The sequence below is a fragment of the Homo sapiens genome, chromosome 9, assembly GCF_000001405.40.
Source record: "Homo sapiens chromosome 9, GRCh38.p14 Primary Assembly".
Taxonomy (NCBI): Eukaryota; Metazoa; Chordata; class Mammalia; order Primates; family Hominidae; genus Homo; species Homo sapiens.
The window spans coordinates 120382673-120406118 of NC_000009.12; the positions used below are offsets into that span (position 1 = coordinate 120382673).

Consider the following 23446-nt stretch of genomic DNA (forward strand, 5'->3'; position numbering starts at 1 on the left):
TCTTGCCATCAGCCTTCCTGCAACAGCAGCGAGAAGAGAGTGGGCTTCTGTGTCCTCACAGCCATGGGGCTCACTGCCTGGGCAATGACCGAGTCCCTCACCCCCTCCCCTGACTGGCCTCTCGTCTAGAGTTTTCTTTCTGCCTCCTCCCAGGGCTTTCTCCTTCATCGCTGGAATAATCACCATTGTTTTCCCAATGCCACACACACAAAAAAGGCCCAAATCTCCAGTACCTTGTGTCCAACCTCGTGTTTCATGCCCCGGCCACACTCCACTACCATGGGTCCCTCAGTGGCCTCCATGCCTTTGCACAGGCTGTTTCCTCCCCTACCACAACCCTGTAGATTCTGCCCACCTTGAAAGATGCAGTTGGCATTCCATACTGTTCCATACTTTCCGTACTGCTCTTTCTCTGTGGAGGTGCCCACACCACTGGCTGGGCCAGAAACCTGCAGCATGGACCCTCTCCTCCTCACCCCCGCCGCCAGGGCGCGCACACACACACACACACACACACACACACACACACACACACACACACACACACACACGGGTCCTCAGGTCCTCATAAGTGTCCCAAATCCACCCTGCCTCTCTGTTGCCGGCCCCTGACCAGGTGAGGACACTCCAGCCTGCACCCTGGACACTCGGCAACATCCCCCAACCCCTTCCCAGACAAAAACTTACCCGTGCCTCCCCTGCTGCTCCCGATGACACCCACCCGCCTCAAGCTGCCACTGGAGGCACTGCCTATGCCGCTGACTGAATTCTAAGCTCTAGCCAGACCAATGCACCACTCACAGACCCTAGTCCCTGCTGTTTCCTCTGCCTAGGAGCCCCACCCCCACCCCTTCTCCACCCCACAATTCCCAGTTGGCCTTTACTGTTCATCCAGGGTCACCCGAGGACACCTTCCCTGCTCACCTCCAAGGCCGAGTAGGAGCTCATTTTCTGGGTGCCCACGGCCCCTTGTGACCATTTATCACGACCACGGATCACCTGTGTGCTGGCCTGTCTCCCATGCTTGACTGGGAGTGCCTCGGGGGCCCGCGGGGCTCTGGGAGCTCTGGGCTTGGGTAGGTGCCAGCAGATGTTGAGTGTGTAACTGTGACTGTCTCCAAATACTTTCCTATGTTGAGTGTCCACACCTCGCCCACCTGTCTCTCCCTCCCACACCCACTCCACACTCTCCAGGTGGGCTCCCAGCCACTGGCTTCCACCACAAAGGAGCCCTGGGCCTGGTCACTCTCTGTCTGTGGCCCCCGACCCCACCATTGTTTTGGCTAAAGAAGAGGGCGAGGCCAGGGCGACCTTGTTCTCTTATTTCCCTGTGTCTGCCCACACCGTCGGCCAGTGTCACACACGAGCTGGGACCACATGCTGTTCTGTTTGGAACGAGAAAGTGGCATTAATACAAACAGAGGGTCGTTTTAGACCTGAAACCATGTAATTAAGCTCTCCCGTGAATGCCTGTTAACAAGGAGGTGCTTTCGCATTTGAGAGAAGCACGTGTGGGAGGGCGCTTGGTAGCCACCATGCACTTAGTCCCATTGTGATCCAGCTGGAGGGGTGAGCCCTGCCCAGTGCTGCCCTCTCGGGTCAGGCAAGGCCGGCGGCTTCCCAGGGAATGGGGTCAATGGGAAAAGAGGGGACTTGGGCAACCCTGAGGACAAAGAGGTCTAAAAGGTTGAGTCAGAAGCAACTCCAACTGCCTGCCTCCCAGCGAGGATGAGGCCCCTCTGGGCCTCACCAGGAGCAGGGCTGGACTTTGGACCACTGGCAGGAACTGCCTGAGTGGGCCGCAAGTGGAAGCAGACGCTGCCAGTGTGGGCTGCACTCCAGCCTGACCAGCTGCCTGGGCACTCGCCAAACTAAACTGCACTCACACGCAGCGGCAGGGAGCTGGGCTCTGTAGCCTACGGGCCTCCATCTGAAGCTGTGTGATCTTGGGCGGGTCACTCTGTGCCCCAGTCCTTCATATGAAAAAAGCAGTCCCTCCCACCCAGGGCTGTCACAATGACTGCCTATGATGATGTTCCAAAGACAGCCAGGCTCCCAGGACCCCAGGTCTAAGCAAATGTTCCCTATTCACTATATTACTTGTCTGTTCTCCCGACCAACCTGAGTTCCTCCAGAAGGAGGCTGGCGAAGCTTTGGCAATGTTTGCTGAGTGAATATATTTGCTGGCCCTGTCCCAGGCAGCGGGGCTGGTGTGAGCAAATCACATGAGGTCTGTGTTCTCACGGAGCTTCAGGTCAATGACAGGGAGAGGAAGAACCCAAAGTCACACAGCGGCCAAGTGCCAGTGAGGGGGGATCATCACGCTCTGATCATGCAGAATAGGGGCTCCTGATCGGGAAGCCATCTCTGACTAGCAGGAGAAGCCACGGTGAGAGCATGCTAGGCAGGCTGCAGCATGTGCAAAGGTCCTGTGGACAGAGACAAAAGCCCTAAGAGACTAGAGCACAGGGAGCCAAGAAGGCAGACAGGGGGGCTCAGGGAACTGAGGGCTTGCTGACCACACTAGGTGTGGTGAGAGGCATCCCATATTTTAAACAAGGGGGATAGTATGATTTGCTTTCCCTTTTAAAGAATCACTCTAGCTGTGGTCTGGCAGACATTTGGAGGGGTGGGTGGATGTGGGAGGCCAACTGGACAGTAAGCTGTCCAGGTGAGAGTTAATGGTCACTTGGACTGAGGTGGCACTGGAGATGAATGAAGCGATGGCCTTGGGAGATACAAGTGGAGAGAGTGGCCCTGATCATGGATGGGATATGGAGGGTGAGGGAGGAGGTGCAAGGATGTCTCTAGCATGTGCTGCTGGCCAAAGGCAGACCCTTCACTGAGGTGAATAGATGAACCCCTGCAATTTGGCCATGTCTGGGCCTCACAGTTAGCCACTGTATATCTTTCCACATCTCATAATTTTTGTGAATAAGGAAACCGAGGCTTGGTTCCACTAGAAGGCCCCACCTGGGGAGCCGGGTCTCTGGATCTGCTCACCCCCATCCTACCTGGCACCCATCTGTGGCAAGAGGTAAACAGGTCTAGCCCCTGAGGCAGAGTCCGGGGCTTCTCAGGAGATGGGATGAGTGATTTTGATAATTGCATTTTTGAGTTAGCCTTAAAATATGGCCAAGATTGAAGAGGCAATTTGGCAGGGCCGGATCCCCCAGGCAGGTTTCTCGGTTTCCACAATGCCGAGAACTTATTAACAAGATCACTCTTTCTCCCTTCCACCACCCACTTACAAGCAGTTCTCGGGGCTGCTGTGTTGAGGAATTCAATTGTGGGTCTCTGGGCTCCTGCTCTGGTCATCCAGAGACATTTTGTTGGAAAGGGTAGACTGAGAATACTTCGATTTGTAACAGGGAAATGCTGCAGTTTCTCGAAGAGATGGCATTTTGGGGGAATACTGATAATCCAAGGGACATCAGGTTTTAACAGACTCAGGTTCAAATTCTGGCTACATCCCTCAGTCTTCTCATTTGTAAAATGGGTGAGGTGGTGCAGATTACTGAGATGCACAGTGTGGCTACTGCCATCCCAGGTGAGCGCCGGCCTGAGGCGCGAGGATTTTACTCTCCAGGACCCCGATAGGGACGTTGGGATGTGGGCCTCGGAAGTGAGATAAAAGCACCATTTCCAAGGTAGGGCAAGCAGGGGGCCCTGGGCCTGTCTCCCAATCCTCTCACTATATATTTAGTCCCTGCAGCTGTTTCTCTCAGGTGCAGCTCCTCCAGCACACGTGGTGATTAATTTCACTGAAGGGAAATTGACGCATTTTCTGATTACTGCTTCAAAGCCTCCCGAATTCAGCTGCTGGTAAAATTAACTCACCAGGGACAATGGAGCTTTTTCCAAGGTCCAAATTGTCTTATTTGCAGTTTGTTCTTGGCATTAATCCAGCCCAAACAAACCAGGCTGCTCCTCCACCTCCCAGAAGAGGGAGGGCCTTCACTAGCCCAAGGTTGAAAGTATTTTACGTGACTCTAAACTGGCGGATAAAAATGCACTTCGTTTTAGATTATTGTGTTCCTGAAAAGCTGTGGGTGACCTGAAGCAAATGGCCAGCTGGGCTCCTGGAGCCCCTCCTCTGCAGCTCCTGCTCCAGGCGTGCCTGGGTTCACCAACCAGACGGGCCTGGGATGTACCAGAATCCAATGTGGATCTCTCCTCCAATCCCTGCACCTCAAGCCCTTGCCAATGACCAAGTTCAGCTCCCATGGGCTGTGCACTGACCATGTGCCAGGCAAGGTAGGACTCTTCCCCTGTGGGGACATCTGAGCCCAGGTCTGACTTCCAGGCCTTGCCTGAGCTGCATCTACTACACTGTACAACCTCCTCCCCTCCTCCCCACTGCCCCCGCAACCACACATGCTTACATTTGCGCACACCTGCCTGGAGGGTAAACACCCTGACAGCAATAGCTTAAGCACAACCTTAGAACGACCCTGTATGGCAGACGCGTCTTAATGTTGTTCTGAGCTAGAGAATCTAGGAGTGGCCAACCCGGAGATTTGTTCCTTGTTTGTGAGGAGTATCTGAGCCCCCAAGCCCGTCTCATGGGACATGGGCTGTACAGGGAACTGAGGCCCTGAGTTTTGGGTTAAAAAAAGGTTCCCAGGTAGAGGTCCTTGGGGGAAGGTTAAGTGAAAATGCTATATAAACTGCATGCTGTTTATAAGTGGTGATGGTTTTCCTGCCCCACCTGGGCCGTGGGCTGTGTTGTTCAGCCGCTGCCACTGAACCATCTGTTTCTGTACGAAAAGCAGTTCTCCTGTCCAGCCTGCCGCCTCTGGACTGTTCCCCTGTATGTAAGCCCCTAATAAAGCCCACATCCTGTTTGCTGGCTCTGTGGGTCTCTTCTCAGGCCCCTTGAACCTGGTGCCTCCCCTACTGAGGTTAATAGGGGTTTGGCACAACACAGCCATAGAACTTAAAACAGTACTTTAAAACTTGCTTAAGACCAGCCACTGAGACAGTGAAGAAGAGTCACCGATTTGTGGAAAGGGCCTTGTTGTTCAGCTGCTTTCAAAATCTGAGGCTCCGAACTCTGTAACAGTACTGGACAAGAGTAACTCTCATTTACAGAAGCACAAGACTCGGGACGGGAACCAGGCCTCCTGCTCCACAGCGCCACACCGACCCAGCTTCCATTTAGGAAGTCAACTGTTGTGACTGCTTGCGAAAGGCACTCCAGTGACATTATGGCTCAATCTGAGTTTTCACACACTGGTACGTATTCTACCGAGGTACACCTGTGCAAATATTTCTCAGGAAGAGCACAGATGGCAGGAACCGAAGCAGAAAGGGTCTGTACTGCCCACTTCCTCCGCCCCTCTCTTAATGGATGGGGAGACAGGCAAAGTGGCATGAGGCCACTCCCCGGACTCCCAGCCGGGGCTGCTGCACCCTACGCTTCCAGCAAGTGCAATCCCGTCTCCTCCCCTCACCATCGTGTCTGGGGAGCTGGGCGCCAGGTCAGGTGCTGGCAATTCCATGGTCAACACAAGCCTCTGCTCTCCAGGGGCTCAGAGGATTTGCACAGTGGTGTGGGGGCTGCGGGAGCAGAGGTGGGGCATTTCACCTAGTATCGGGTCAGGAGAGGCTTCCCCAAGGGCAGAAAAAATATTTCTAAAGGACCATTCAAAGCTAACTAGAAAAAGAAAGGGTGGGAGGAGCATGTCCAAGAGGGCGCAGCCTGGGTTAGACTGGGGAGAACACTGTTCCGTTTGCCTGGAACACAGAGTGGAGCGGGAGGAGGCGAGATGGGCAAGGAGCTGGAGGTGCCAGCAAGGCTTGTAAACCTTGTTAGGGGCTCGGGCTTGGATCAGAGGGTAGTGGGAAGCCGCTAAAGTGTTTTGGCTGGGGGCATCTTGGTCAGAGGCAGCGATGTGGATGGCTGATGACACACCCCTGTCATCACGGGAACAATGCAAATGCCACATTCCAGCTCTGGGCCTCACTCTGCTCTTTGCTAAATCGGGAATGGCACCACTGCAAGGGCTGCTGTCCAGCAGACTGTGAGATGCTGAGCACACACCAGTGCCCATGGCCACGCTGCACGGAGGTGCTCTTCTCTGGACACTTGAACGAGCTCAGCAGTGAGCCATGCGACTCGTGGAACCCTGGCCTGTCCCACTTGGGATTTTGGGACCTGGGCTTTGAGGCGCCACACAAAACAACAGAATCGTCAAGGTGAAATGAAATGAATCATTTAATGAGAATCTTCAAACTGTGGCACTGGCTGAGTACTAAGCAAATCCAGGGGAAGACGTGAAGCCCACCAAGGCGCACAGCCTCAACTCCGGTGCCTGCCCCTGATCTGAAATACAACATCCAAGAGCTCGAGGCCTTTTTACCACCCGTTTGTGGAGCACCTGCACCTTTCTGACAACAACTCTCAAGCCAACTTTCAGAGAGAAAACATGAAGGGAAAAAATAGATTTCCTTTGGCCAGACAGCTCTTTCTTCCTCAATAAATAGGAACCACACTTGGAACAAAGAGACAGCGTGAGCTCGGTGGGGGAAGCACAAGCTTTATTGGCTGAAAGTTCTTCTCAGGAGCCTGGTCTGCTGGGACTGCATGTTCCTGGATGGGCTCCCCCAGGCCTAAGCTAGGAAAAGGAAGAAAAAAAAGGAGAATTTTAAGTCCAAAGGAGGTTTCTGAAGTAAGACCCCGACAGAGGTGAAAGCGAGACTGTTATTCTCAAAGTGCTTTCAAAAACATAGTTTGGTCAGTAAATATTTACCTAATAAACAACGATGAGATCATACTGTATTCATTCATTCAAGAAATATTCATCAAATGCCTACTATGTGTCAAGCATTGTTTGCTGTATTTCTTACTGGTAAAAATAGCATACAAATTTAAAACTTAGAACCCCTACTGGCGACAGGGCATGATAAAACACAACTTTTCATGCACTGCTGGCAGAAACAACTCTCTGAGGAGGACATGTCCCCTGGTTCCACCTGCACCTTCATTTTTCAAGAGGTCCTTTCTGGCCCTGCACTCCTCCTGACCTTCCACTGGCCTGCAGTGAAAAGACTCAAAGGGCATACCTCCAGGTTTCCTCTGGCCTTCCGAAGGATTTTGTGGGTTACGACCACTGAGGAGAGAGCAAAGAATGCAATGATTAGGGCCATGGATATCCAGGAGAGCTGTGTGAAAGCCAAGTGCAGGGAGGATGAACCCCACCCCAAAGGGCTCGGACATGTAGACAACACGAGGTCTGAAGCATCCAGACCAGAGGGAGGTACAAAGGGCCCACCTGACCCATCACAAACCCCAGGGCCAAATAACGCATCAACAACACCTCTTTGAGGCCCCGCTAAGCCACCACCTGACAGTGATGCAGAGGCTACAGCATGCTATGCCGGTTCAGAGAACACCCTACAGCTGTGCACGGCCACCTGGCTGTCCAGGTATCCCTCAGGCTCACTTCTGTGGGCCAGGGAGGGCAATGGCGCAGGGAGGGTAGAGGCCTGGGCCTGCCCAGCACTCTTTAGTTTCCTAGGCCCTCTGGGAAGCAGCTGTGGGAAGGGACTGTGCCCCGATCAGGCAGACCCACATATGAGGGTCCAAGTTCTACGAAGCCAGGTTTTTACCCAGCAGCTCTTAGAGCCAGCTCCAAATGGCCTGGAAGAAAAAACCGTGGGCATGCTGCTTCTCCTTTGCCTGCCCTTTAGCTGGTGGAATAGCCCAGCCTGATTCCTCTGGGCAAGTCACATTCTGCCTGGACAAGAGCTGGTTGGGTGGGATGGTTTCAGAGGTCCCTGCTGACACTGACGCCCGGAGCACTGTACTAGAAAGATCCCCCGTGCATGAGAATTCCCAGGAGGGGCAGGCGAGCCCTGGCTTTCAGGAGCAACTGTAAAGGTGGGTCTTCCTTCAGGCTTTTTCTTGTCCAACACAAACTCCAGCAGTGGCAAGAATGCCCCTCTTGATCAGAGTTCTGAGCCTGATAGGGAATCTGTTCTCAACAGGGCTTGGTGAGAGTAAGATCAGCTTACTCCCCACGTTGGAAATACCAAAGGCTTCTGGAGCCGCGCCTTTAGCCAACAGTGCCAGAGGCTGTAACAGACTCAACGCCCAACACACATAGCCTGACTCCCCAGTGGCTTCTTCAGAATAGGTGTCTGTCGTGTGGTGGCCTTGAGAAAATATTGATTTCTTGCCTCACGAAAATTTCCATCTGGAGGTAATGGAGTTTATTTGCAATCTGTGACACTGGGGACGGGACAGACGGTGTGGACTTTGTTTTTAGCCAAGCAAAACGACTTTCAGAGGTGGCCACTGCCCCTCTACCCCAACCTGACCTCCTGCTGCAGGGCAAAGTTCCTGACATGGGGCCCTGGATATGTTTGGGGGGTCAGTCCTAAACCCTCCGACACTGTGTGCAAATGGGGGTATGTATCTGGACGTCCGCATTTTTCCACAGAGAGACCACAGCTTTCTCCAGATTCACCAAGGGGCCTGAGACCCAGAAAAGATTAAGTATCACAGCTGTGGAGGTTGAAGATGATTGTGAAAGAGCACTCCATGTCCCTAGAGAACAAAGCTCATGGCAGAAGAACTAAGGATCACTTGGCTCAAGCTTTGAGGGGACCCCTACACCTCAACAGCACTGCCACGTTCCAAAGCACAGAAATCCCCACTGCAAGGAGAAGACCGAGGAACACAGCGACAAAGGACTCGTCCCAAATCTAGACTGGCCCCAGCACAGAGCTGGGACTCACATGTGGGCCTGCCCAACTCAGTCCATGGTTCTTCCCACCTCAGCAGAGTGCTGGGAAGAAGGTACCGACCTGAGCTGAGCAGTGTTGACCTGGTGACAGGTGGTTTCCAACGGTGGCCTCACTGAATACTCCCCCACCCTATGGGGCAGAACTACTGTCCTCGCTTTGCAAATGAGGACCTGAGGCAGCTGGTTCCAGGTCACATGGCCAGTGAGTGGCCCCAGGGCATCAGGACTCTTAGGGTCCCACTGGGATGCCTTTTCCTTACTTTCCCCTGTAGACTCTGAGAAGGTATGGTGTCAGTTTGACCAGGTAGCAATCAGCCCTGGCCTTTGCTCTTCCCCATCACCATGAGGGGACGGAGGAAGAGGAGGTGCTATGCCAACTTTCTCCTAGTCCCTTTAGACCCAGAGCAGGTCTGTGAAGTCCGCAGGGCTTGGAGAATTTCCAAGGACCTGACTCCTTGGGATGAGCTGCAGAGCCTGGCAAAGGAGGAGTTGCAGGCCCGGGTCAGCCACCAGCTATGCTGCCTGGAGCAAGCCCCTCACCCTGCTCTGGCGGAGCCTGCTCTGTGCCAGGCCTAGGAGATATGGAGATGGACAATACCAGCTCAGGAGGGGAAGTGCTATGAGACATTTGCGGCTCTTCTTACTATGAATGATTTGCCACCTCCATGCATAGGATTTGGTCTGGCCTAATGGAAAGAAAGAGGAGGGACTGGTTGAGCATCTCCTCTGCCCCCGAGACTGTGCTAAGTACAATACAGTTTAGGTAGCGTTATCATCCTTATTTTACAGATGAGAAAACTGGGGTGCTTTTTATAAAGTTGCTATTGAACCCGGGACCAACTAGTTAGTCTGAGTCCTTTGGAACTCACGTCTCCAGTTAGAGATGAGGAATCGAAAGCTTAGGGTTCTAGTCTAATGCAGGTCACATAGGAGAATGGAGATCTGAACTGTGCTCAATCAATAATTCCATGTTCTCTGACCTAGGACACAGGGGATCTGGGTTCTAGTTCTGTCCTTTTGACCGACCACAGTACTCAACCCATCGAAACCTACTTCTGCAATTTTCTCACCTGTCAATAGGGTTAGCTACCTGCCCTGTGACTGTTCAGGGCCAAAGGCTGCTGAGGAGGAGAGATGCCAATGCAGAGAGTTCTGCCTTTCTCTAGACCTATGCAGAGCATTGCTCCCCACCCCACTGCTGCTCCAAGAGTCTAACCTAAATATTCCACAGCTGCCTTAACAGGACCACAGCTGGCACTGTCTCTCTCCAGGTTCCCCTCAGTGCTCTTTTTCTCTACGAGTGACACGAAACCCTCAACCAGAACCCCACAGACATCCACCACTCTGCCAGGTTGACCTCCTTACAATCTTTCAAAACCATCCCTTCTCCCCCACAGTCCTGACCCACTGCCCACCTGGGGGACTGCTGCAGCCCCCAAAGAGGTCTTCCCGGCCTCCTGGCCCCTCCAAGCTCAGCCATGGGATCTTGTAATACACGCATGGACCCCGCCGGTCCCTGCTGCTCGTCCTGGAGTCCTGTCCACAAGGCTCCTTGCAACCTGGTTCCTGCTTCTCCCTCTCACTCATCTCTCAGAGGAAAACCCTTTGCACGTCCTAAGCATGTCCCTGAGCACTCAGTTCTCTCTCACCCCTGGGAGCACACCAGCAAGTCCACAGGGCCATCTGCCAGAATCCTATTCCTGCCCCTTCGCTGACAAATTCCTAGTCATTCTTCAAGACCCAGTCAGTCTTGAACCACCTCTCAGGCCTCCTAGGATGCACTCAGCACATCGTCCTGCAGCTAAGCTCTGTGTCTCCCCTATTAAGCCCACGACCCTCACTGGCAAAGACTGTCTCGTTCATCTCTGTCCCCAGGACCTGGCGTAAGGGGCAAAGAACAGGAACTCAGTGCCTGCTCAGTGGCTGCGCTCCTCTCTTTTGCAGTCCAAACACTGGCAGTCTCACAGAGTCTATTTTCAGAAGGTTCCCAGGGGTGGCTAAGGAGAACTCCTACTTGGCAATAATCTCTGTCCTGTGCTTCTCAGAAATGCCCCAGAAATGTTGGACTTTGACAGGAGAGCCGCACAAGGCAGGCTGGCACCTCCAGAGAAAAAGTGCTGCAGTCAGCAGTTCTCTTAAGACAGGGAAACTGACACACAGACAGCGCAGGCTTGGCCAGGGCCATGTTGCCAACAGGCACTAATGGAAACTCAGCTACCGCCTGCTCCTCTAAATGCAGCGGGAGGGAGTGCTGAGGGTTTAAACCAGGAGACAGAGCTGCTCCCAAACAATCTCCAAAGTGGCTAGATCAGAACTGGGACTGACCTTACAAAAGTTACTTAACCTCACCAACCCTGAGTCTCGGCATCTGCCTTGAGAAGTATTTCTCAAATCCATGCCCTCCTCTGGATCCCCAGCGTCCTAGCCACCTTTCCTGTCTGACTAGTGAGTCAGCCTCCCCCTCACTGGTGGAGCAGCCACCAGCGAGCCATTCTTGCACACAGATGTGACAGGCCAATCCTCTGCCCTGAGCCTGCCACCTACAGTCTTTCATGAAGTACTCCCTGACCCCCAATCCCTCCCACCTTAATTCACTGTTTGCAGCCTTTACCCCACAGGGACTGGTTTTGGTTTCTCACATACAAAAACTTATTTCCTGCCTTTGTGCCTCTGTCCATGCTCTTCCCTGAGGGACTGCCACTCCCCGCTCCATGTGACGACGTCTGCTTTCATTTCACACTCAGCGAGGTGGTCACTTTGTCTAAGACGCCCACCTTGCCGGGACAGAGTGACGGCCACCCAACTCCCACCCCAGTGCTCTGCATGTTCCCATCACTGCACATGCCACACGACTGTCTCCCAGTGAGACGACAGTCCCTGACACCAAAAGGCCGCTCTACAAAGGTGTGTTAAGTGAATACATTTGTCTATGTGAGTCAGAAAGGATGGAGTATGAAAAGAAGCCCACAGATAGGAGGCATGATTACAAACCATCTGGGCTCCAAAGTGGGTAATCCAGGGCAGAACTGGGAGCCCTCGGAGGCAGGAAGTGGTCAGGCATAGCGGCCACCCCCACACTCACTCACATTGATCAAAGATGACTTTTTCCTGGCGCTTGCTCAGCTGCAAAAGCTTCATGGTGTTTTGCAACTTCTTTTCTTGTTCAAACAATTTTTTATGTAGTTTGGTGACCTCTGCCTTCATTTCTCCAATCTAAAGAGAAGAGAAATTAGAAAAATGAACAAAGAACATAAACATCATGTTACACAGGAAGAATTACAAAGCCATATAAAAAGATGATGCTCAACCTCACTAGCAAAAATATTTGAATGGAAACTAGAAGCCTTTTCCTGACAACCAGGAAAAGGCAAAATTGGACAAAACTCATTGAGGGTAAGGGGAAAGCACCTCGTGACCTCTGGTGGAAGTGCGGGATGGCATGGCCCAGTGAGAACGCCCTGGCAAGATCTACCAAACTGAGATGCGCTTAACTCTTTGCCCCAGCAATTCTACACGCTGGCATTTCCCCCAAGGAATAATAACATAAGCACAAGAAGATGCCTATGTACAAGGATGTTCGTCTCAGCATTGTTCATGGTAGGAAAAAATAACCTGATTTCAGTATAGATCTGGATAAATTATGGTACTTACATATAATACAATAATTTAGCAACTATTAAAAATGACGTTGTAGAGCTCTATGCATTGATATCAAAAAATGATCACAGTTAGTGACAAAAGAGCCCAGAACAACACGTCCTGTATAAAAGGCATTCCTGTTCCACAAAACTGAATATAAACGCCCACATCCATAGATGTGTATATTGAGATGTCATCAAAATGTTAACAGCAATTCTCTCCATGAGCTATGATTTCAAATTGCGTGATCTTTTTCTTTTACAAAAACTATAATGCTGATTTTAAAAACTTTTCAATGTTTAAATCTTCAAAAGATCATATAAAAGTATTACTAGGAAAGTATGCTCCATTAGAAGAAACTCTTCTGGTTTTCCAGAGTAAACTCTGGATGGGTGGCAAAACCAGAGTCCCCAGTGCTCTGAGGTGACATACATGCACGGCGGAGCCCTCTGAGCCAGTCTCCACCAAACCAGCTCCCAGGGGGAAGGACACTCCCTTTCTGTCAGAAAAGCACCGTGGCACAGGCCGCTCTCTGCTGCGCCGAAACACTTCTGCTTCCAACAGGAGAGCTGGTGAGTTGTCAGCTCACGAAGAGTCACTTTAGTTTGTTCCCAAACTTGTTTATGGTAGCTGTACTTGTAATCAAATTGCATAATTTAATTAAATATTAAGTAAGCCCATGAAATATGTGTATTAAAAGAGAGAACTGGTTGTATGAAAACTAACATATGCTTCAGGAAAGACTTGATAAAAGCAAGTCACTAAAAAACACATTTCTGGCAAATTAGGTGTGGGTGAGACAACTATAAAAGATGTGGGAGGAACACAGTCTAGAAGAATTCTATATTCAAATTGCTTTGCAAGTGTCTAAGTTTTCTCTTCATCTTAAAGAAACAGAAATTGGAAGTGACAGACATACATTATGGATGCAGTTTATGAAAGAAAGAAGATGTGAAACTCCAATCAGCAGACCCATATTCAAAAGAAAAGGCCCTGGCCCTACATCAAAAGAATGGCAAATGAATGTACATTTATCTGTTTTAAGTTAAACTAAAATGTTTAAGGTACATATCATTTTTGATTCCCTGACTTAACCTACTTTTAAGATTAACCAGTCATGTCAGGTACAAGGACTTTGACAGTTCTTCCCAAACAGATCCTAATTTTAAACATTAGGTTTGCTTTGATTCTTTTCCTTGGGGCTAAGAGCTCACAAAGACTTAGGTTCTGGTCATGGCTCCAGAGGCCACACATTCCAGGACAAAGTCTCTCTACAGTCAACGCCTTAGTCCCACATCTGTAAAATCGGAATAATCATCCCTGATCCAGCTATCACATTGCAGTAGAGTGAGACTCAAATGAGATAATGGAAGACAGTGGGAATGATCATTTCCAACTTGGCCTGGCTGACCCATTCCTTGTTCTAAAGTCAGCTCAGGTTTCACCTCTTCCAGGAAGTTGACCTGGCACTTCTTTTAGGATGGCTACTGCTCCTCTGGGTGCCCCGGGGCTCAGTGTCTCCCCATCACCGCCCATGGCACACTGGAGTGACTGGTCCTTTACTTGTTTGCTTCCTGTACTGACCACACACTCATTTCCTCCCTCTAACCACCAGTGTCTGGCGCAGAGTAGGTGCTGTGACACCATTTACCCACTCATGGTGGATTAATTTTCACTAGTGCTCTCCTAACATCCTGTATATATTCTATCCAGTACTTACAACAGGGAATTTTAATTGTTTACATGTCTGTTGTTCCCCTGGATTCAAATCTTCATTTTATAGGATGAATATTCCATGGTAGCAACAGCAGGGGCTCAAAGTACAGCTCCACCACTCCCCAGCTATATGACGCTGAAGCAAGTCACTTAATCTCTTGGAGTTTCCATTCCTACCTCTGGAAAAAGGGAAGAATCACAGCTAACTCCCTCAAGATTTCCGCAAGGGATCAAATGAGATGCTGGGTGTAAGCAGCATGCCCAGTGTCCGCAGGAGGTCACCAGAAGAACCCTTCCTGAGGGCCACAGAGCTGCAGTGCTGAAGCCACTCCCTCCCAGGAGGCCTCAGGCTTCCTCGTCAGTGTTCTGCCTGACTTCGGGGACAGGAATTTTTGCTTGTTTTCTTTTTATGGTGAAAAAAATCTCAAACATTTACGAAAGCAGAAAGAACTGGATAATGAACGCCCAAGTGCCCATCCAGCTTCAGCAATGATCAATTCATGGCCATACTTACCTCTACTACATTCCTGCCCATCTTCTCCCCAAGATGATTCTGAAACCAACCTTAGAATCCAATTGTATCATCTATAAAATATTTTACTAGATCTCTCTAGAAGATTTTTTTTTTTTAAATAAAGACAGCATCTTACTATGTTGCTCAGGCTGCTCTCAAACTTCTGGCCTCAGGTGATCCTCCCACCTTGGCCTCTGAAAGTGCTGGGATTACAGGCATGAGCCACCATCCCGGCCATAAAAACATTCTTAAAAAAAAAAAAAAAAAAAAAGAAAAAAGAAAAAAAAAAAAGCCCAACACAGTATCATTATGACACCTTAAAAAAAAAGGCAGTAATTCCTTAGTATCACCACATCCAGTCAGTGAGCACACTTCCCTGATTGCTTCATAATTTTCTTTTCTAAACAATTGGTTCAATTCAGGATGCAAATAAGATCCATGTTTTGCATTTGATTATCTCTTGAGTTTCTTTAAATCCAGTGGTTCTCAAACCTACCTAGAGGGCTACAAAAACAGACTGCTGGGGTGCACTCTCAGAGTTCCTGATTCAGCAGGTTTGGTGTGAGGCCTGAGAAGGTGAATTTTTGACAAGTTTCCAGGTGATGCAGATGCTGCAGGTCCAGGGCCCACACTTATGGGAACCACTGTAAATCCATAGGGTTCTCTCCCTCTTTCCCCACGCTGGATCCTTTCTTACTAGGATGAAATACGTTCTAGGCTCATACTGTACATCTCCTGCCCCAGACCTAGCAACAACCCATTTCTCCAAGGGAACCCTAGTTCCCTTTAGCGGGCAAAGGTATCTAGAAACCATAATTTGGGCATCAAGGGCACTCACTGGTGCTAGAACAGACATTGTTTCTAAAGCCTTGTATGTTGACAAAGTTCATAAAATTCTTTTAATGGATGATAATACATCACAAGTTCATTCTGATATGTGCTATTCAAATTTAGGATTACAGGGTTATTTCTTTGATTTCTTATCTCTTTTTCCTTACAGTAAAAAATCAGTTCCCAATAAAAGTATTTGCTTTATCTTATAATAGAAATATAATAATTCAGAATATGAATATCAATATTACTACTAAAAATATAACCATTAACAAGAGTTTAAATTTTTTTCTTGCCCTTAGAATACTTCTACTAGAAATGTGTGGTCAAATTACTATGCTTTAGTCACTGAAATGCTTCCTTTTTGTGTTGTTATGCCTACATTGCCATATACAGTAAGGTTTGTTTCATCTTGCCAAGAATTTTTAGGAATTGTTTTCTCATTTTGATTTTTTATAATCATGTAATGCATTTATATACTTGCTAAGTCAAATCTACAAAACAAGGTCTATTCAGAGAAATCTACCTTCTATCTGTTACTCCAATCTCTCCCCTTCCATTACTATATGTAGCCTGGTTTGTTATTGTTTATCCTCCATTTAAAAAAATTATTATAAACAAGTATGTGTGTACATTTGTACCCCTCCACACAACTGGTGCACATGATACACACTTTCCAGAGCAGTCCAGACTACATGGGATGGTATACTAAATGTAAAAGGCAATTAATAACACTCAAGAGAAAACCAGATAGTTCAAAAACCCCTGGGTTGTTGGTGAAAACTTGGAAATGGAAATCAGCATTACACACATTTCACACCAAGCAAAGGCACTGTATGAAACACAGCAGTGACAGAAAAGTGGCTAGAGGCAATTTAACACTACACAGGGGGTATGTACCCCAGCAACCACATCGGAGCATCTCAAAGGTCCTTTTTCTGGCACAATTCCATGACATCAGAGTGAGCATAATCAATTACTCAAGAAACCTTTGGAAGGAAAGGGGTACTCAGGAGCACCAACCACTCCTGGAATGATTTGCAAGTAGGGAAGAATCAATGTGGCTATAACTTTTTTTGTGTGTATATATATTTTATATGTAAGTGTATGAGCTGTATTTCTGTCTATGTAACAGTTACTACAATGTGCTAAGGATAAAAACATTGCATTAAGGGTCAACTGTTCAGTTCAGACATGTTTATGTTAAAATCATATGAGGCAGGCACTACTTTGGGTGTATAGAAAAAAAATCACTGGTTCATTCAAAAAATATAAATAAAACAGACACCATCCTCTGAAGGAAAATAGAGGAAGACAGGCATTAAACAAATATACAATTATAACTTGTTGAAAGGCTATGATGAAACAGAAGAGGATGCTATGATGGAGGAATCAGGGAGCCCTCTCTGACTCTGGGGTAATATTTAAGCTAAGACTTGAAAGGTGAGAAGGAGCCAGCCAGAAGCAGGACATGGGACACTCCAGGCAGTCAGGCCATCTGTGTCACCTAAGCCTAAGATGGAACAGGACCTGGTGGATTAGAAGAAGGGAAAGACCAATGTGGGGCTGGACCCCAGTGAGTCTCAGCCTTCCTCCCTGATACTCTGTCTCCCACCTGATACTGCCACCAGCTAAACGTGGGCCAAAAAAAGATTTTTCTATGGAATGAATAGTTATCAACTTCCCTGAGCTTAGTGTATCCAAACTTTGTCCCCAGGATCCCAAAAGTGAAATCTTAGAACAGGCTCATTAGAACCTTCAGAGCAGAGAGAGCTGCCCCACCTGCTACTTCATGGTCATGTTTGAGAGACCTGAGAGCTGTCAAAAGGGGGTTAACTAAATGAGATAATGACAAAAAATGTAAATTTCCCTTCTGCCTTCCTACTGGCCTTTGGCAAGAACAGATAGGTTAGATAAACAAAGGGTGAAATATCTATCACACCACCAAGCAGAGAGTTCTAACTCTTCCTTAACCTGCAGGTCCCTTCCTCCAGGGAGGTTTCTCTGATTAGCCAGAGTGGGCGTTCACCTTGTCATGACACCACATGCATCCCACACACAGAAATCAGAGGACAGCTTCTACTCTGCCTGACTCCTGGTTTGGAGCCTGTCATTCCTAAGTACTTAAAACAGATTTTGAACAAGGTCCACTCAAATATGATGATGAAAGCTGTCGATAGGAATCAGAAGGTCCAGAAAAAGGCACCTAAAATAAAAGAGATGATGAGTAGAAAAGAATGAGCTAGTCCATGAGGACAAATTAGGACTTAGAGCCTATAAAATAAAAGAATAAACATTGGGTTCCAATATTTATCCTTTCAAACAAGTTCTAACCTTGACTAAGTGCCTCAGCTCCCTGAGTCCTGGTTCCCTCATGTGTAGAATGCGGACGGGATTCTACTCAACAAAGACACGCTCAGACGGGTCATGGCTACAGGAGTGTGGGACGGATCAAGTAAGAACACAGTGAAGCCATGGCAAACGGTGCCATCTCCTCCCTAATACATACCCCAAATGGTGGGCACATCTGCTGTGGGCCCCTGCTTGGCATGGAGGAAACTGAGACACAGGCCCCAGTGGCATCCTTGAGCCTCTGAAACATGTGTCACCACCTACCTGCTCACAGTGAAGGGGGCACTGGCCATCCTCGGGGAGTGAGACTCTCCAGAGAAGCTTCAGCCGCCTGTAGGCCTCTTCCAGGGTCAGCTTGGCCGTGCTCACACTGCTCACAAACTTGCTCAGTGGTGCTGGGTGTGGACCCTACACGGGGGATATGAAGGCTGTTACGTGCAGTCTTGAAAAAGATTTTAGACAAGCAAGCCTTAACATGCAGTATAAATCTCCAGACTGTAGGGCTTCTGTTTCACACGCTGAGCGAAAGCCTGGTACCACATAACACCAATTTATTGTTCTTAAAGACTGGTGAATTGTAGATTATGAGAGAATTTCAGTGGTGATCTTAGCCCAATCAATAACCATGATTAATAACCACCATGGTTAATAACCACCAGCATTAACTACAGTTACTACTCCAAGTAAAGGGTCTGTGGGAGGGCCATTCTTACTGTTTGGCGACCCACAGAGACTCGCCCAGAGAAAATGACACCAACAGCAAGCAATAAATGGTTTGCCTTTACTGGTCCCTGTTAAATGGCCCTGCTGTAGTGAATATGATATCAGGGTCTTGTACTGCTGGCAGAGCAAACTCAAATTGGGCGGTATCAAGGGCACAAGAAAATTATGTATGTGACTCAGAAAAGGGGAAATACAAGCCCAGAAATTCGAGACCACCCTAGGCAACATAGTGAGACCCCCATCTCTACAAAAAAATAAAAAATTAGCTAGGTGTGGCAGTGCACACCTGTAGTCCTGGCTACTCAGGAAGCTGGGATGGGAGGATTGCTTAAGTCCAGGAGGTCAAGGCTGCAGTGTGCCATAATCATGCCATGTACCCCAGCCTGGACAACATGGCCAGACCCTGTCTCAAAAAAAAAAAAAAAAAAAAAAAGAGAGAAAAAAGACACATCCTTTTTAGATATCAAAGTAACAAAAAAATCATTATAAATGAAAATATCTGGGCTGGGTGCAGTGGCTCACGCCTTTATCCCAGCACTTTGGGAGGCCGAGGCAGTTGGATCACCTGAAGTCAGGAGTTCAAGACCAGCCTGCCCAGCATGGTGAAACCCCGTCTCTACTAAAAATACAAAAATCAGCCGGGCATGGTGGCAGGCGCCTGTAATCCCAGCTACTAAAGAGGCTGAGGGAGGAGAATCACTTGAGCCCAAGAGGAGGAGGCTGCAGTGAGCCAAGATCGCACCACTGAACTCCAGCCTGAGCAACAGAATGAGACTCCATCTCAAAAAAAAAAAATTTTATATATATACTGCCAGGCATGATAGCTGACGCCTGTAATCCCAACACTTTAGGAGGCCAAGGTGGGAGGATCATTTGAGCCCAGGAGTTCGAGGCCAGCCTGGGCAACAGAGTGAGACCCTGTCTCTAAAAAAAATTTTTTTTAAAAGCCAGGTGTGATGGCACACGCCTGTGGTCACAGCTACTTGGGAGGCTGAGGCAGGAGGATTGCTTGAGCCTAGGAGGTGGGGTCGAAGCTACAGTGAGCCATGATCGCGCCACTGCACTCCAGCCTGGGTGACAGAGCTAGATCCTGTCTCAAAATAAAAAAAACACAACAACAACAAAACCTCAACAAAAACAAAAATGTAGTGAGACAAACGTTCATGAACAGAGATAGAATTGTTTTGCAAAGTAATGGAGCAACAGTTATCATCAAGAGCCCTAAAAAGTTCACAACCTTTGAACTAGTAATTCCACTTCATAATGGGCGACAGCCAGGTGGATGGGCAGATGAATGGACAGACACACCAGGGTGCAGATGGAGAGAAGAATGGATGAGAGACCAGATGTACAGAGGCCGTCATGGGAACAAGACAGCAGAGCCCATGGAGCAGTTGCAGGAACACAAGGCACAAACCCCACCAAACACAGCCACCACCAATAGTTCCCCACACTGGACCTGACCTCTGAGCTCTCTGAGGCCACACTTCCTGGTCCCTCTTCTCAGGGTCCTAATGAGGACAACTGCGCCATTTGACTCCCCTCCCCCTTCCACCGACACTCCCAGGGAGCAGCTTGTGCCCCCCAGCTCTGTGGTCAGGTTACCTTTGTTCCCAGCTCTTGACTTGTGGAGCTGGGAGCCTCTTGGGTTTGAATGTCCATTTCAGCAAGGAGCCTCTGTCCCTGGCTGATCTGTTTGAGCAGGGCCTCATAGTCCTCAATCAGGCCCAGGACATGGCGGCCATTCTTGCTGGCCCACAGGTGGTGGCCAGTGACCAGGCGGGACACACACGGAGTGCTAGTTGCCGAACTGCCACTGTCGCAGGAGAGGGAGTCCGTGTCATTCCCAGAGAGTGGAGGAGTCTCTGAAACTGTAAAATGAGAAGTAGGATGTAAAATCTGTTTCAGGTAACACTCTGCGTTCAAGACGCTTATGATGTTGAAGCTAGCTAGGAGGGCTAGAAGAGGCCCTCGTGCCCAAATGCCACCCAACACAAGCCCAGAGGGGAAAAGAGGCACGCTCCTGGACCTCTGTATATTACCCCACACTGGGCTTATGAGTCATCTTGTAGGAGAGGCTCAAGTCAACTCAACCAACACTTATCAACCACCCACTCGGCAGAAGACCCCAGATTCACAAGGATGACTCAAGCTGGTGCCTGCATTCCAGTAGCCCACAGTCTGATCAGAACACAGACACTGCAGAAGGTGCAACAGCAGAGTGATGAAGGGCCAGAGCCAGAAAAAACAATTATCTGTGCAGGGAGGGAGAGAACAGGGAAGGCTTCTGAGAAGGAGCAGCATTTGAACTGGATTGAGCAAGTAGCAAGAATTACACGAATGATGAGTCATTCTGACCAAGGACAGCAGCAAAGGCATGTCACAGAGAAATGTGTATTCATGATGAGTCTTGAGGAAACGGGACTTCTACCGGCAAAGAGTGGGACAAAGGGGGTCTAAAAGTCACAGTGAGAGGAAAGTGTGGGCCTGTCTGCAGGATGGTGACCCCTGTGTGGCTACACCAGGTTAAGGGATAAGGCTGGACGGACCCACTGGAGCTGGATCCTGGAGGGCCTTGAAAGCCTCACAAAGGTGGTCACAATTTTAATCTAAGGCAAGAGGGACCCAATGATGTTCTAACCTTGGTAACACCTAGGAGTGGATTAACTGGCTTGAAGGAGAAGATCACCAGCTGGGGATGCTGAGAACTTGAAATCCCAAATCCTTACCAAATACCCTCCTGAGTTGGGACCAGGGACCCCCCTTTTCTGCAAGTTAAAAAGTCTTACTGTCACATCCAATGCTCCCACAGTTACCTGGACTTCAGCTTTGTACCTGATTTTGGTGTCACTGCCTGGGAGGAATCAAACAGATCAAATGAATTATCACTTTCCATGGGATATTTGTCACCATCTACAAAATGCAAAACACGAGAACTGTTAGTTTCACTGTTGTCAGCATTCAAGAGAGAACTGAAAGAGAATACAGTCAAGCCCCTCACATTCACTTATCCATACACACACAGCATTCCTTCAAATCTTCACTGGGCCTCTGTCCTGCCAAGCCCACCTTTGTGGGACACCAGGGAGACAGAGTGACCAGGCCCAGTCCATTCCCTAGAAAAACTCTCAGCAGAAAAGTAAATAAGCAATTTTATTTTAGTGTGATCAAGGACAAGGGAGGGAAACACAGGCTGTTGGGGCTCAGGTGAGGGGCACTACCCCCAACTTGGCTTCCCAAAGGCTAATACCCGTTTTAAAACCTTATGTTTTAAGACTGATTGTGACTGACCTATGGTAAGAAGGAGGGAAAGAAATGCCAGGCAGCACAATGGGCAGGTGAGAGGCAGACAGTGGGACAAAGAGTGGAATCATCGCTCAGGGAGAAATAAGCAGTTCATAGACCCAAGGCCCGGGTGCAGGGAAGGACAAAGTAGAATGCAAGGCCAGAACCAAGAGGACTGAGGGGCCCACTCAAGGGCTTTGGGCAAGGCAATGTCAAGCTGAGGTCTGTATTTTGTACTGAAAGAGTAAGTCTGGAGGCTGCCACACTAACCTAAGCTAGAGATGAGAGTAACCCACAATAGGATCTGGGGGGTGATGTATTTGCAACACTGTAAGGAGGCAAAACCAATAGATGCTGTACAGATGACCTGTGCAACACGTTATAATTTGGAAAGCACTTTCACATATGAAAAGCTATTGGACTCAATAGCTCAGTGGGCAAAACACACTGTAATTCAGATTTCATGGAAGGGGAGACCAAGGGGCAGAGATAGAAAGTGATCTGTCCAGCATAACCCAGCATGTCAGTGGCACAGAGCAAGGAAGCCTAGGGCTTAGGATCCCCCTTCCGAGCTCCTGCACCACTGGGCGGTGGGCTGACTGCACTCCAGCATTTCCCAGGGGTGTGCTACAGTTCCTAAGGCCAAGGAGCCAGGAGGTCAGCTCCATAGAGCTGGCCCCAAGAGGAATCACTCTCAGTGAAAGACATCAGCCTTTAGAACAGAATTTTTAAAACAGATGCACTTAAATACAGACCTGAGAAGTCTTTTGCAAAGGAAGAAATGCTGCTGCCTATAATTCTGATCTTGACTCAAGGAAATTATAAAACTTTTCTGCTGAGGCAGCACTGTGAATTCTGAATGCTCTCCTGGATGCCTCTTGCCAGGCATGATGAGGGCTGCTTTCGGCAAATTTCAAAAGCAGGTAAAGGCTGTTTGATGGCCTCCTCACTTCAGCTACCCAACTCTCCTTCCTGGGTACCCCAAGCACAGAACTGTTCTCCCTGCTTCAAACTCCCCTAGCCTACCCCACAAGTTCCTGAATCCCATCTCCTCAAAGCCTTAAAAAGGGCCAGGTGCAGACCCGTGTTGAAAATAGTAATGCCCAATGCTGAGGTCACACAAAAACCACTACCTTTGTACACTGCTGATGTACAGACTATTTAGAAGGTGGCAATATGGCACCTTTCCAAACTTATGAGGTTCCCCTTGTAGGGTTTTCTCCTAAGAATATTATTTAACAGCAAAAAGCATATTAACATTGATGTCTATTATGGCTCCAAATCAGAGACCACTTTAATAAATCAACGGGGTCATGGATTGGTGACTGAGAATAGCCTGCAAACAATCATTAGGAAGCCCATGTGAAAGCACAGGGAACATGTATGATGTAATATTGGGCAAAAACAAAGAAAGGACACACAATGACACAAAATCCAATTTGAAAAATATAAATTCATGCTCATATTTAATAAATGAAAAAATATGCAAATTTTAAAAAATGATCAATGTGTAGAATCATGAACTTTTTTTCTCTGTTCACTTTTTTCATATTATTACATCATCTTTTTGATTAAATTTTAAGATCCTTGTCAATGAGAAATCAATGAACTAATCACTACGAGCGGACTGACC

At 48.6% G+C, this 23446-nt stretch overlaps 1 protein-coding gene across 17 annotated transcripts in view, besides 2 other annotated features; it reads right to left on the reverse strand.

Annotated features, from left to right (window-relative positions):
- Positions 6203 to 23446, reverse strand: part of CDK5RAP2 (CDK5 regulatory subunit associated protein 2) — a 191293-nt gene continuing 174049 nt past the window's right edge. For all 17 annotated transcript variants that reach the window (NR_073558.2, NR_073556.2, NR_073554.2 and 14 more), the window contains 6 exons: positions 21364 to 21441; positions 20134 to 20399; positions 18070 to 18213; positions 11840 to 11966; positions 7069 to 7115; positions 6203 to 6620 (listed from right to left, as the gene is read on the reverse strand). Coding sequence is in view for 12 of the 17 variants with exons in the window: in NM_001272039.2 (NP_001258968.1) it covers positions 6564 to 6620; positions 7069 to 7115; positions 11840 to 11966; positions 18070 to 18213; positions 20134 to 20399; positions 21364 to 21441 (719 nt within the window). In the remaining 5 variants the exon portion in view is untranslated. The remainder of the gene's footprint in view (positions 6621 to 7068; positions 7116 to 11839; positions 11967 to 18069; positions 18214 to 20133; positions 20400 to 21363; positions 21442 to 23446) is intronic.
- Positions 7433 to 7933: an enhancer, noted in NCBI's record as "H3K4me1 hESC enhancer chr9:123152383-123152883 (GRCh37/hg19 assembly coordinates)". NCBI's record gives its function as "activates a minimal SCP1, AML or CMV promoter by ChIP-STARR-seq in primed H9 embryonic stem cells {active_cell/tissue: H9 hESC(primed)}" and the evidence as "EXISTENCE:reporter gene assay evidence [ECO:0000049][PMID:30033119]".
- Positions 19730 to 20698: an enhancer, noted in NCBI's record as "H3K27ac-H3K4me1 hESC enhancer chr9:123164680-123165648 (GRCh37/hg19 assembly coordinates)". NCBI's record gives its function as "activates a minimal SCP1, AML or CMV promoter by ChIP-STARR-seq in primed H9 embryonic stem cells {active_cell/tissue: H9 hESC(primed)}" and the evidence as "EXISTENCE:reporter gene assay evidence [ECO:0000049][PMID:30033119]".